Here is a 15,047-nt window from a genome sequence, read left to right on the forward strand (position 1 = left end):
CTTGCTGTCGTCTTGCATGCCCTCTCTCCCCCATCTAACCAGCTCCATCCATTCTTTTTTTTTTTTTTTTTTTGAGACATAGTCTCGCTTTGTAACCCAGTCTGGAGTGATGTGACACAATCTCAGCTCCTTGCAATCTCTGCCTCCTGAGTTCAAGCAATTCTCCTGCCTCAGCCTTCCGAGTAGCTGGGATTACAGGCATGTACCACCACACCCGGCTAATTTTTGTATTTTTAGTAGAGACTGGGTTTCACTATGTTGCCCAGGCTTGTCTCAAACTCCCGATCTCAGGTGATCCGCCTGTCTTGGCCTCCCAAAGTGCTGAGATTACAGGCACGAACCACCATGCCCAGCCTCCATTCTTCTTCTTCTTCTCCTTCTCCTTCTCCTTCTCCTTCTCCTTCTCCTTCTCCTTCTCCTTCTCCTTCTTCTTCTTCTTCTTCTTCTTCTTCTTCTTCTTCTTCTTCTTCTTCTTCCTCTTCTTCTTCTTCTTCCTCTTCTTCTTCTTCTTCCTCCTCTTCCTCTTCCTCTTCCTCTTCTTCTTCTTCTTCTTCTTCTTCCTCCTCCTCCTCCACCTCCTCCACCTCCTCCTCCTCCTCCCCCCTTCTCCTCCTCCTCCTCCTCTCCTCCTTCTCCTTCTCCTTCTTCTTCTTCTTTTTCTCTTCGTCCTCCTCTCTGGCACAATACTGGCTTATACTTAGTCCAAGACCAATGTACACCTGGTGGCAGTTACTTAAGTTTCAGACATGCTATAAAACACAGCAAGCATCACTACTTGCATTATTCATTCTCTATTTACCATGCATTGGCTTAAATTTGTATTGCTTATCCTGTCACATCCATTGTCGCTAAATAGAACATACCCTAAAATTTTTTGTAGATTTGGTCATCCCTAGCACACTACCCTGCATGGAGAAAGCTTTAATAAATAGTTATTGATCACTCTATAGCTGAACAATTAATTTTGAAGAACTGAACCATAATTGCTCAAAGTCTAGATATAGATTTTTTTTTCCAATTGGAAAATCAAGAATGTAATTGTGGTCTTAGATTTTTATAAAAAGAAGAAAACTCCAGAGTTACGTGAGTTTTATTTTTAAAGCAGCAGTAAACATGATCACCTCTCAAAACACTATATTTTACTTAAACCTTAGAACAAACACTTACTGTAACCTAATTAGATGGTTTATGCTTCCCTAATCTACTCATTTCTATTCCTGCATTTAAACTATTTCTAACATTCCTTGGACTCTTCCTGATTCCAAGTCCTACCTAATCCCGTAACACCCAATGTAAGTCTTGCTTTTTTGGTATAGCCTTCTGCAACCACCTCCTTGGTTATCACTTCCTCCTGGGATGATACAGTGGCCTCCCATTTGGTTTTCAGTTTAAGCACAACAGTGTAACAGATGCTGTATTTCTCTGTATATTTCTACCTCCTCATCATTTCTTTGGGGAGAGTGTCCTACATGTTTTTATACTCCCAGTTCAAGTGTGGGGACCAGTCTATAAATATTTACTGATGATTATTACCTGGATGACAGTTGCTTCTCTCTTTTACCTGGACACAAGAAGCATGAGAAATTGACAAAGATGTACTGACTTCCCAGTCTTAGCCCTGGCTGGTAGCAAGAGCTACCTTACAGGATTTGTTTTTGTTAAAGCCAGACTAAATACATCTTAAACAACCACGTCTTTTTCCATAGCTGCCTCAATTGATGGATTGGGCGAACATCTCACAGAAAATTCTCATGTGATTAATCTTGTCCCAGAATCCACAGAGTTATTCTCATTATCTCTTGGATAGAGAGAAAGGTACACAGACAAGCACTTTCCTTCCACTTGTTAGCCATTGTTTACTTGCCATTTACTTATTTGCAAATAAGTAAACCACTTGTTTACTTGCCATTCAAAACAACTAATTCTCACCTTTTCTTTCAGATAAGTTCAAACAGTATATAGTTCAAGGATCGAATCACAGAAAGGTCAATAAATTGATGCCCGGGGAGTTGCATGTATTTCATCTTTTCTCTTTTAATAAGACTACCTTATATGACTTTGCAAGTACAATAGGACCTAATGTATCCATTCCTTATAAATATTGGATTTGTGAAAATGTGTGATACACTGTAGACAGATTACCATCTGTCTTTGCATTATCTGGGAAGAACATGTTTTCCAAATGAATTAAAAATGATAAATAAGATCAAGAGGAATTCTTATCACATTAACTTTTAAAGTTTATTTTTATTTTTTAAGATTCCATCTTTGCTTTAAATTTTTTTCCTAAGCTAGGCATGGTGGCTCGTGCCTGTAATCCAGGACTCTGGGAGGCCAAGATGGGAGAATTGCTTGAGGCCAGAACCTCGAGACCATCCTGGGAACATAGTGAGACCCCTACCTCTAAAAAAAATTTAACTGGGCCTGGTGGTACACACCTGTAGTCTCAGCTACTCAGAAGGCTGAGGTGGGAGGGTTGCTTGAGCCCAGGAGTTCGAGGCTGCACTGAGCTCTGAGAATGTGCCATTTGCACTCCAGTTAGGAGACAGAATGAGACCCTGTCTAAAAGAAAAAAAAAAAGGTTTCCTCTTTCATCTATAGTAGTTTATAAAACCTATTTTCTCTGCTTCAGACCTCCCCTTCTATCCTTGTTTTGTGAAAGAAATCATGTTTCTGTTTTGTGATTTGGCTCTTGGCTTTCTCAGTAATAAGCACTTGAGGGATACTGGAAAGTTAGAAGAAGGAACTAGCTCCTTCTTGTTTGCTGCTGGTCAGCATCACCCTCAGCCTCTCTTTTTCACTCTGGCAGTGGCAGTCTATTTCAGTAGCAGCATCTCGATTTAGTTTACAATTTTCCCAACAATCACCAGCCTCATTGTACTCCCTTACAGAACCAGCAACAGTGAGGTCCTTCTTCCAAGTTTTTGCTTTTTTAATTTTTTTACCCTGAGATGGAGTCTAGCTTTGTCACCCAGGCTGTAATGCAGTGGCATGATCTCAGCTCACTGCAACCTCTGCCTCCCGGGTTCAAGCAATTCTCCCGCCTCAGCCTCCTAGGTAGCTGGGATTACAGGCATGTGCCATTATGCCCAGCTAATTTTTGTATTTTTAGTAGAGATGGGGTTTCACCATGTTGGCCAGGCTGGTCTCGAGCTCCTGACCTCAAGTAATCCGCCCACCTCTGCCTCCCAAAGTGTTGGGATTACAGGTGCGAGGCACAGCACCCGGCCTAGTTTTTGCTTTTTAATAATTTTTACACCTTCCATTTGTTCCTTTGGACTTAAGAGTGTAGTAGTTGCTTACTGTGGTTGCAAGTTTGGGAATCCTCTGTGGGTTTTTTTTTTTTGCATTTTCCATTCTTCAATATTCAGTTAACAATTCTTTATATTAAATTCACCTTGTTTAAATAACTAGTAGCATTTCTGTCTCTTGACTGGACTGTGACTGATACAGATCATATAGGTTGTCTTATGTATTTGAAGGTTTATATATATATTAATATATATTTTTCTGTCTCTCATATATATGAGTATGTGAGACAGACTCCTATTCTGTCACTCAGGCTGGAGTGCAGTGGTATAATCACAGCTCACTGCAGCCTCAACCTCCCAGGCTCAAGTGATCCTCCCACCTCAGCTTCCCAAGTAGCTAGGACTATAGGCACGTACCACTGTGCCCAACTATTTTTATTTTATTTTATTTTTTGTAGAGACAGAGTCTCTACAAAATGTTGCTCAGGCTGGCCTTGAACCCCTGGGCTCAAGGGATCCTCCTGCCTTGGCCTCCCAAAGTGCTGAGATTACAGGTGTTAGCCATTGTGCCTGGCTTAAAATTATTTTAAATAAATCCTTTAATCCATATATTTCACCTTTCCAAATTTCCACTAAATATATCTGAATTAGTGCCATATTGTAGAAGTCATTATTTCCCTCTCTATAATCACCTATATTTCACCTTTCCAAATTTCCACTAAATATATCTGAATTAGTGCCATATTGTAGAAGTCATTATTTCCCTCTCTATAATCACCTATATTTCACCTTTCCAAATTTCCACTAAATATATCTGAATTAGTGCCATATTGTAGAAGTCATTATTTCCCTCTCTATAATCACCTATATTTCACCTTTCCAAATTTCCACTAAATATATCTGAATTAGTGCCATATTGTAGAAGTCATTATTTCCCTCTCTATAATCACCTATATTTCACCTTTCCAAATTTCCACTAAATATATCTGAATTAGTGCCATATTGTAGAAGTCATTATTTCCCTCTCTATAATCACCCACTTACCAGCTTGATGCTAATACTGTACCTCAAGACTTAAAAATAATCCAAAAATTACCATTTCCAGCAAGTAAAAATTGCTATTGTTCTGTGTTGCCCTGTCCCGACACCCTAGAGAGAGAGGATGACTTGGAACAGTAATATCCAAGTCAGCCCCACTCTTGTGACATTTCCAAATCACAGGAGGGAGCAGCACAGGCCACTGAAATTCATCACCCCCAGGAAGCGGATGACCCTGGGCCTTTCTTAGCCCTGCCAGGGGGAGGAGTAGCCCCAGGGAGAGCCATAGAATTGACTTAAATATTCCTTTCAATGTGGCTCAGCATGAACGTGAATGGATTTCAAGGATAGAAACTTTGGCTTGAACTTGGCTATTCTGAGGTCAGAAGAAAATTTCTCCCTTGAGAAATCTGTGCTCTGTGCTCAGAGGTGGTATTTGTGGCTCTTAAACATTTGATAGCTACTTTTGCTCCTCCATCAGATTCCCCCCCCCATTGTGGGCTGGTAAGCATGAATTCATTCACAGTAAGTTTAATAGAATTTACTAAGTGAAGGCACAGCTGAGTTACAGAAAGGAGAAAATGCAACGTTTATTAAGTGTCTTCTATGTGATACAAGAGCTGGGGGCTTTCTTGACAGTAATTCTGTGAAGTAATGGTTTGATCTCTATTTTGCAGATGATGGAACTGAAGCTCTTTGAGTTAATTAACTGAAAGCCATCCCTCTAGTCAAGGACAGACATGTTCCTTAATTCGGGCCTGTGCTTCTTTAAATCCCGCATTCTGCCCACTATATCATACTTGTGCATGTTGACAGGGAAAATAATTGGCTTTAACAATTTTTGAACGTTCTTCGAGTCAGAAAATTATTTGGAATACTGAAGAAAAGAAAAAACATGGGCATTGTGTTAGAGATCCACAATCTAATGGCCCACCCATTTTTCTAAATAAATTTCACTTTTTTGGAACAGTTTTAGACTTACAGAAAAATTGAGAAACTGGAACAAAGAATTCCCACATACCCTACGGCACAGCCAGTTTCGCCTATTGTTAACATCTTATATTAGCATGACACATTTGTTAAAGTTAATGAGCTACTCTTGATACATTTTTATTAACTAAAATCCATAGTTTTCCCAGATTTCCTTGGATTTTTACCTAACATCCCTTTTCTGCTCCGGCATCCCATCCAGGACACCATGTTACATTTAGTCATGATCGCTTCTTAGGCTCCTCTTGGCAGTGACAGTTTCTCAGACTTTCCTTGTTTTTGATGACTTTGACAGTTTGACAGTTTTGAGGATTGTTGGTCAGGCATTTTGTAGGACATCTCTTTACTGAAATTTACCTGATTTTTTTTTTCATGATTTGAATGGGTTAATAGATTTCTGGGAAGAAGATCACAGAGGTAAAGTGACATTTTCATCCCATGATACCAAGGGCACATACTATCAACATGACTCATGACTGTTGATATTGACATTGATCACCTGGCTAAGGTAGTGCTTGTTAGGTTTCTCCATTGTAAAGCTGCTTCCCCGGCCCCTTTCCGTAGCTTGCTCTTTGGAAGGAAGTCAGTATGTGCAGCCCACACTTAAGGAGTGGAGAATTTTGTTCTTGCTCCTCCAGGGTGAGGTATCTAAATAAATTATTTGGAATTCTTCCGCATGGGAGACTTTTCTCTCTCATTTATTAATGCGTTCAATTATTTATTTATATTATTGTGGAACGATGGGTATTTCTTTCATCCTTTAGATTTTAATCCAGTACCATTTTATTTTTTGCTTACATGATTCCAGCTTTGGACACTGGGAGCTCTTTCAGTTGGTCCCCGTGTCTCTTTAACAAACCCTTTATCCATGCCTTTTTTTTTCTTTGAGCACTTCCTTATTTTCTGGAACTTGTTTCTTGTTCCAGGCTCATCTTGTATATTTTCTGTACCTCTTATTGTAATTCTATAGTTTCATATATATATATATATACACACATACATATATATATACACATACACACACATATATATAAATAACAACAGAAAAAAAGAATTTGTGCTTTAGGAAAAGCATCATGATGTGGAATCTCCTCACCCGCTAGTTCTACTTTTAGAAACAGTTTAGTAAGTCAACTGCTCTTTAGGAGTTTCAGAGATGGAAAGAGTGACAGACTTTTAACTGTGCAGTGTCTGACTGACAACACTGAGTTTTTTCTTTGCCTATGGACATATTTTTTAATACTCATAAGAAGAAAAAAACATCGGCTTGCAGCTCTTTTGATTTCCTCTGAGGGTTCCCCCTCTCTTCCTCCTTCATTGGCTGAAGAAGCACAGATGAATGTGAATGCTTATTAAATAATCACTTGTTACAAATAGCTGATTAGGATTTGGGCTATGTCAACAATTGTTGCTTGCCAGGCTTTTGGCAGAGTTCTGATCACGTTAGGTTTTAGATAATCAATTTATTCTAATACAAACCATATTGGACGGTGGAGCTTTTATGCCTTTTTATTTCCTTTAAACAGCCTTCGGAAGCAAATGCTTATTATTTTGAAATGCAGCCAAATTCTGGTCACCACAGGAGTCCACTGTTAAGATGAAGCTCCTAACACATTAGATATTTTCTTGGCTTAGGCAGAAACACTTAAAACATTGGACAGAAAACTGATGTTTTTGATTTCCCTTCCTATCTTCAGATTATTGGAGTTTCATTAGAAAACTGATAGTAACCTTTTATTTGATGAAACTCTGTCTATAATTAAACCTTCCTCTTCCTGCTTTATTTTGCCTACAGTTTAGGTAAATAAAAGATGCCCAAGAATTCAGTATTCAAGTACAGTAAAAAGTAGCAACCATGGGGTAGGGACAAGTCCAGAAAAAGGGAGGAGGTGGGGGGGTTTTCTGGGAAGATGTCAAATAAAAATTGACAACCAGAATGCAGTGAATTAGAAGGGTGATTGTGCTGAGACGCTGAGCACTGAGCGTAGAAGTTGTTTAGGGCCCTCCATGGGACGGAGGTCTATAACAAAACCATGTTCTAAAGGTCACTTAAGGATAATGTCAACAAGACAAATATTTTGAGATTTATGGGGTAGTAGAAGAACGACAGGACTTCAGATAAGCACCTGTGGATAAGGGTCAGAGGCATCTAAAGTTTAAGCAAAGATGACAAACTGAAATACCTGCAAGGAGTAGAGGTGACTTACATGCAGAGATACTATTGATAACATCTAACAGCTGATGAGGCACCAACACTTCCCAATCAGAAACCGGGCCAATGGGTTCCCTGTGCCACTAGAATTTCTTCTTTATCTGCTGAATGTTAGGAGAGTCTGGAGGGTGCTCAGAGGTTGGGTCTGGAACAGTTGGCAAAGCAGAGGTACATTTGGAGAGATACATTTAGGTAAACAAAAGATACCCAAGAATTCAGTATTCAAATACAGTAAAAAGTGGCAATCATGGGGTAGGGAAAAGTCCAGAGAAAGGGAGGAGGCGGTGTTTCATTGTAGTACAATGCTGAATTACTGTATTAGTAGGGTTCTCTAGAGGGACAGAACTAATAGGATAGATGTATAATATATATGAAGCGGAATTTATTAAGGAATATTGACTCATACGATCACAAGGAGAAGTCCCACAATAGGCCATCTGCAAGATGAGGAGCAAGAAAGCCAGTCTGAGTCCCAAAACCTCAAAAGTAAGGAGGCTGACAATGCACCCTTCAGTCTGTGGCCGAACACCGGAGAGTCCCTTGCAAACCACTGGTGTAAGCCCAAGAGTCCAAAAGTTAAAGAACTTGGAGCCTGATGTTCGAGGGCAGAAAGCATTCAGCACGGGAGAAAGATGAAGACTGGAAGACTCAGCAAGTGGGCTTCTCTCACCTTCTGTCTGCTTTATTTTAGCAGTGCTGGAATTGATTAGGTGAGTCTGCCTCTTCCAGTCCACTGACTCAAATGTTAATCTCCTTTGGCAACACCCTCACAGACATATCCAGGAACAATACTTCGCATCCTTCGATCCAATCAAGTTGACACTTAATATGAACCGTCACATTTACCAACCATCTAAATTATTTCAATGTTTTAACAGCCTGTTTGGCTAAATAGATGTGTGCTAGAGAGCTATCACTTTCCACGTGGGTAAAGTGGGCTCTATGAGGAGACTATAGAGTGTGGTGCGGACTGTAGTAAGCTTGAGCAGCCTGCGCAGCCTGCACCCCTGAGTGCATTGGAACGGAGTCCAGTGGATTTGTATGTGCATTGGAAATATCCTTTTTTAAAATGACTCTTTTACCCTGTGCAGATGAAACAAAACACATATGCAGGATGGTCATGGGCATTTATCGTTACATGAGACTTCATACCCAGATTTCTATCTTAATAGCTAATGAATTTTAACACCAATGCTTCAAGTAAGAAACCTCAGGGTTTATTTTAACCTTTTCATTCATTTCTCTATTTCTTCATTTATTTATCCAACACTACTGAAGACTACTTCTTTTTCCTTACATTTCACATCATTTATTTTCTAATACCTTTATTGTTAGGCTATGCATCTCCATCTCCCAATTAACTCTCAGAACAGTACCTAGCCTTACTTTCCTGCACTTTGACATCATACAGTGATGCTTATTATTTTGCTTATTATTCTCAAAATTCATTTTTTTGTATTTCCATTTAATAATTATTGGACAACTTCCATGCACAAGGCACCATGCTAGGTGCTGGTATAAAAAAAATTATAAGACAGCTTCTTATAGCCATCGAGGAGCTTGCTGTCTAACTTGACTCAACTATCCATCGACAAAGTCTTATTGAGGTTCTGGCTGCCATCGTCTTATTTAATCCTTAGAGATGCTGATTGAATGGTCTTCTCTCTCTCTCTCTGTTTACCCTCTTTCCTCATGCTACCATAGTGATTTCCTCAGCATCTCATATCAGGGGTGTATTAATCAGGGTTCTCCAGAGAAACAGAACCAATAGGATACAGAGAAATAGATACATAGGTAGATATATATATATAAATATATGAGAAGATTTATTATGAGAATTGGCTTGCAGGATTGTGGAGCTCAGGAAGTCCCACAATATGCCATCTGTGGGCTGGAGACCCAGGAGAGATGGTGACATAATTGAGTCTGAATCTGAGGCCTGAGAACCAGGAGAGTTGATGGTAGAATTCTCAGTCTGAGGCTGAAGGTTTGAGAGTCAGGAGCTGTGATGTTTGAAGGCAGGAGCAGATGCATGTCCCAGCTCAAGTAGAGAGAGAGTGGGAATTCATCCTTCCTTTGCCCTTTTGTTCTATTCTATTCTAGGCCCTCAATGTACTGGATGTTGCCCAGCAAAGATCTTCTTTTACTCAGTTTACTGATTCAAATGATGATCTCCTCTGGAAACTTTCTCACAGACACACCCAGAAATAATGTTTTAACAGCAGTACAAAAAATTAACCATCCCAACGGCCTCATTCTTGTTCTGTGTCTCATAGTCCTTATGAAGTCCCTGGACCATGTCATCTCCCAGTCCCTCCACACCCTCCCCCTTTCCCTTTGTGGCGTTCAGACTTGCTTGGTCAATCCAAATTCCCTTTCCCTTGCTGAGCCCTCCTGCACCCTCAGATCTCCCACTTCACCAGGAAAATGTTTATCAACCCAGTGCACTAAGGCCTATGGCTTTCTCTGAGTCTTTATAGCTGAGATCACACCTCATCTGGGGAGATCCGTGCCCTCTGCCCTTGGCTGGGACATACTGTTAACACGTTTCCTAAAGGATTAGGTGCAATGTGAAATGCCACATCCAATAAGGGAAGGACGCTGCTTGACAAAAAGGAGCACCAGACTGACTTAGCAAAAGGAACTGGGGAAAAAGACAAAAGAGAGAAGGGTAAATGTACTTTTAATTATAATTTTTAAAAGGAAAGGCTTCCCTCTTCTAAACTTCTAAGAGGCTGTGAACAGTGGTGAGTCCTGAAGCAGCTCTGTGCAGGCCACACCATAGAGATTGGTCCGTTTCACAGGTGGAAGAGAACGATGCCTTGGATTCCATTCAAGTTGCTTTTTCCCCAGTTTACTGCCAAACCTGCGCTAAGTCAAGCAGAGAAGACATGCGGTAAGGTTAGATGAGTGAATGCCGTTCTTCAATGTGTCTCTTTCCCAGATTTCTGTGGTCAAGGCTATTTACATGGAAATGAGGGTGTGCCAGGACCTCTGATCTGGTCCTGTTGCCTTTAAGGGATTAGAGTGAGAAAGTGGCCATGTCAATTTTCAGAGATTCACTTACTGCTATATAAAGAAATTACTGCCATACCAAATATTATGTATTGAATTTTGCCCCCCATCCCCCAAAGATATGTTGAAGTCCTAACCCTGGTACCTTAGAATGTGACCTTACTTAGAAGTAGGGTCTTTACAGGAGCAACTAAGTTGAAATGAGGTCATTAGGATGGGCCTTAATCTAATAAAATGCTGTCCTTAGAGAAAGTTGGGACAGATACAGACACGCAGAGAGGGAAGATAATGTGAAGATACACAGGCAGATGATGGTTAGATGGCAGATGACTTTGCTAAGGCAGTCATAGAAAACTAATACTCCTCCTTTACTTTGTCAACAGTCCCACAGCAGGTCGGCCTACAGCCTACCACAGGCCAACTAATACAAAGTAAGCTGCTTCTGCTTAGAGAGTATATTGCCGACACATTTGGACACAAAATCAGTATTCAGCTATAGGCTGATAACACCTTCCATGTTACAATACAGGTTCTAGATACAGTATAATGCCCTCTCTGCTATTCTAGAGCTGCACTGTCCAAAACACCATTAGCCACATGTGAGTGTCTAAAATGAAATTTCAGTTCAAATGATTAAATTAAAAATTCTTAGCCACATTAGCCCGATATCAAGTGCTCAATAGTCATGATGACTTGTCACCGTATTGGACACCACAGATGTAGAACATGTTCATCATTGCAGAAAGTTCTGTTGGACAGTGCTGTTCTAGAGAATGAAATATTCTTTTCAGTTGGTTGTACTGGTTAACTGAGAAATACCACATATCCTTTGAAAAAAGAAAGGAAAGAAAACAAAAAAGAAGCTGATACAGTTACCTCTAAAATAGTGCTTTCATAAATCTGAAGGCATGTTATAGTTTTGAAATATTTTAGGGGTAGGAGTATGACTTTCAATACTCACTGTACTGACAGAGGGCCAGAATGTTGGCAAATGGAAAGCTGGGTTGATTGAATGCTAAATAAATCAGCATTTTCTGTCTCAACTATGGCCCAAATACAAAATCTAACCACTCTGGGGAATAATTTAGGAACATTTAAAGTCATTAGGATCATTAGATCTGACTCAAGTGATGCAAAATAAACAACCCTCCCAGCCCGATTTGGAATCAGTTCTACTGCCTTCAAAGTTGAGGCTAAGTCCTCTGAGCTTGAATATATGACAAATGTTTTTCTTTGTTTGGCTATGTTTATTCTCACATCTATTTTTTTTTTCAGTGTTTGTTTCACTGAAAATGATCTATAACAATCTATAACCCTAATTACTTATTGTCTCAGAGCCATAGGACTGTTAAGGACTGGGTAGTATAATTTGTCTCTTTGCCTCCAGTCTGGAATTCAACTGAGCAGGCTGTCTATATATTGCTGTGTACTGATCCCCATCCTTCATGAAAACATAATCAGCTCCAGAGGATACCTAGTATGATATTACTAGCACCATTTTTCTTGCTACCTCATTTTTCGTAATGGAATTTTTACATTTTTTCCAGATCTTTGGGTCAGAGTGACATTTAGTTTGCCCCTCTGACTTCTAGCTGCAATTTTCTTTGTCTGAACTACACAGAGGGAGACAAAATATCCCTTTTTATTGTGGTTAGAGGTCTCACCAAGGAACAGTGGCAGGAATGTAGCTCTAAATTCTTAAATAACTAAGTGATACTTTATAGACAGAGGAGACTTCAAAAATATTCTTCACTGACTTGGCTTGAAGAAATTAACACACTCTTCTATTAAAAAAATTCTGTCTGTACTTAAGAGAAATGTGGTGTTCTAAGTTTTAAATAAATTGCTGGAGAAGGACCTCACCCCAACTTCTAAGCAAGGACAGTCATCCTACTCAGTTTTATTGAGAACAGTGATTTGGATGTTTATTTCTTTTGTTCTACCAAAAAATGTTGTGTCAGTTGTGTTGCAAGAGATACAGAGCTGGCTGGGCTCTGATAAAGCTTATTACGATGGCATGATGAAGAGGAGGATATTCTCCTGGAAAAGCAGGCTGGGACTCTGTGAAGGCCTTGTTAATTCCCTAGAAAAGCAGGCCACTGGGACGCAGTGGGATTCTCACCTTTCCAAGACCAGCAAGCCACTGATATGATTGGCAGATTATTATGTCAATTAAGATTAAAGAGGAATAGATGAAACAGGAGAGAGAAATTGAATAAGAGAACATTTTCTATGTAGAGGGTAGAGATGTTTTATTACATTTTCTAGCTGCTTCTCATCCTAGCCAGTCTGTCCTTCCCTTCAGTATGGAAGATACATGGCATTTCCCATTTTAAGAAATCAAAAAACAAAAATCTAAGCCAAAAGACCCTGAGCATTTAAGAAGAATAGCTAGTATGAAAAAACTTTCTAAATTACCAAAGTATAAACATACAAGATTTCTTTGAGTAGTGAGATTTGGCCGAAATCTTTGTTCAGATTTTATGCAAATCAATTTTGTTTCTTTTCTATCTAGGTTCTGGATATCTCACTATTCACTGAAGCTGGTTTACCATGGGCTGCTCTTTCTGTTATTATGGGGTTTTTATTGCAATTTATAGATAATTCTTAATCTCTACTTCCAAATTTGTAACTGCAGCCCAGATCTCTTTCTTGGACTTTAGATCCATGTATTCGATCCTACTCCACTTGGTGTCCCAATGGACAAGATTCCAGTTGCTTCCAGCATTCCAGTTGCTTAGCCCCAAAACCTGGGAGTCAACCTTGACTCTTGTTTTTCACATCACACATCTACCCAGTCAGGAAATTCTCTTTCAAAATATCTCCAGTCTGTCCACTTCTTAACTCTCCTACAGTTACCATTTGCCACCACCATCTCTCACTTTGATTAGTATTACGCTAGCCACTCAGCAGTTCTCTGCTTCCATCTTTACTCTTTATAGTTTCTTGACCTAGCAGTCAGAGTTTTGGAGCCATTGCAGAGTTTTTAGCAGAGGAGTGACGTGATCAGACTTACTTTTTTTTTTTGAGATGGAGTCTAGCTCTTGTTGCCCAGGCTGGAGTGCAATGGCACAATCTCGGCTCACTGCAACCTCTGCTGCTCAGGTTCAAGTGATTCTCCTGCCTCAGCCTCCCAAGTAGCTGGGATTACAGGTGCCCACCACCACGCCTGGCTAATTTTTTGTATTTTTTAATAGAGACAGGGTTTCACCATGTTGGTCAGGCTGGTCTTGAACTCCTGACCTCAGGTGATCCATTCGCCTTGGCCTCCCAAAGTGCTAGGATTACAGGCATGAGCCACCACACCCGGCCCAGACTTACGTTTTAAAACAACCTCCTTTTTCAAATATCACTGCTATGGTTCAGAGATGGTGTGTTTGGTCCCACCTAGTCTCATGTTAAACTTTGATCCCCGGTGTTGGAGGTGGGGTCTGGTGGAAGATGTTTGGATTGTGGGGATGGATCGCTCATGAATGGCTTGGTGCCATTCTCATGGGAGTGAATTGTCACTCTAGGTTCCCACAAGAATTGCTTGTTGAAAAGAGCCTGGTACCTCCTCTTCTCTCTCTGGGTTTCTTTCTCATCATGTGATAACTGCCCCCTTTTGCCTTCCACCTTGAATGGAAGATTCCTGAGGCCCTCACCAGATGCAGATGCTAGTGTCATGCTTCTTGTACAGCCTGCTGTGAGCCAAATAAACTGTGAGCCAAATGAACACTTTTTCTTTATAAATTACCCAGCCTCAGGTTTTCCCTTATAGCAATACAAGTGGACTAAGGCAATCACCCACTCGGTAAAGCCCACTATAAACACCTGATTTAAATGACAGGCTATCTTTCCTTAGCATTCTCAATGACATTAGCCTGATCAATTTTTCACAGTACTAATTGCTTTTTCTCACAATATGTAATTCACCCATTTATCATGTTTATTGACTGTCTCTCATCCCCCACTCCTGCAGAATGTAAGCTATATGAAGGCAGACATTTTGTCTATTCACTGATATATTCCAAGTATTGGAATTATACGTGGCACACTGTAGGCAGTACATGAATATTTGTTGAATGATTTTAAAATATTTTCTTTGTAACCCATCCAAGAGTCTTCAAACATGTACAGTGAAGGTGACATTCTCCCCCTGCTCCTTAGAAATATTGACCAGGTGCTCTAGCTTTTCCATTTAGAGTTAGATAATAAAAATCCTTGAGACAGTTTTTGCTACAGGGACAGAATTATTTCAGGGCTTTAAATGGCCCACTTCCATGTAATAACAGTCAAATTGAAAGTATTTCCCCCGTCCTAGCTTTTGAGTCCGTAATGAGGAGGAAGCACAAATGGCTCTGGCTCCACATCCCCTGCAACCTAGTTCTACTCCTCCAACCCAGCTCACTAGCCCAGGCTTCTGACTCCTTCAGAATTGGGAAGAAGGAATTAAGGAAATGCACAGTATTCAGAGATTGGTATTTTCATGATATGTTCTTAGTGTTCATGAGGCTTGGCAAATATAAATCCAGATCTTCCCCTTAGGATCCATTTTGCGG

General features: G+C 40.1%; 1 annotated feature.

Annotated features, from left to right (window-relative positions):
* Positions 4,310-4,971: an enhancer, noted in NCBI's record as "OCT4-NANOG hESC enhancer chr1:214856916-214857577 (GRCh37/hg19 assembly coordinates)". NCBI's record gives its function as "activates a minimal SCP1, AML or CMV promoter by ChIP-STARR-seq in naive H9 embryonic stem cells {active_cell/tissue: H9 hESC(naive)}" and the evidence as "EXISTENCE:reporter gene assay evidence [ECO:0000049][PMID:30033119]".

This window comes from Homo sapiens, chromosome 1, assembly GCF_000001405.40.
Source record: "Homo sapiens chromosome 1, GRCh38.p14 Primary Assembly".
NCBI classification, from domain to species: domain Eukaryota; kingdom Metazoa; phylum Chordata; class Mammalia; order Primates; family Hominidae; genus Homo; species Homo sapiens.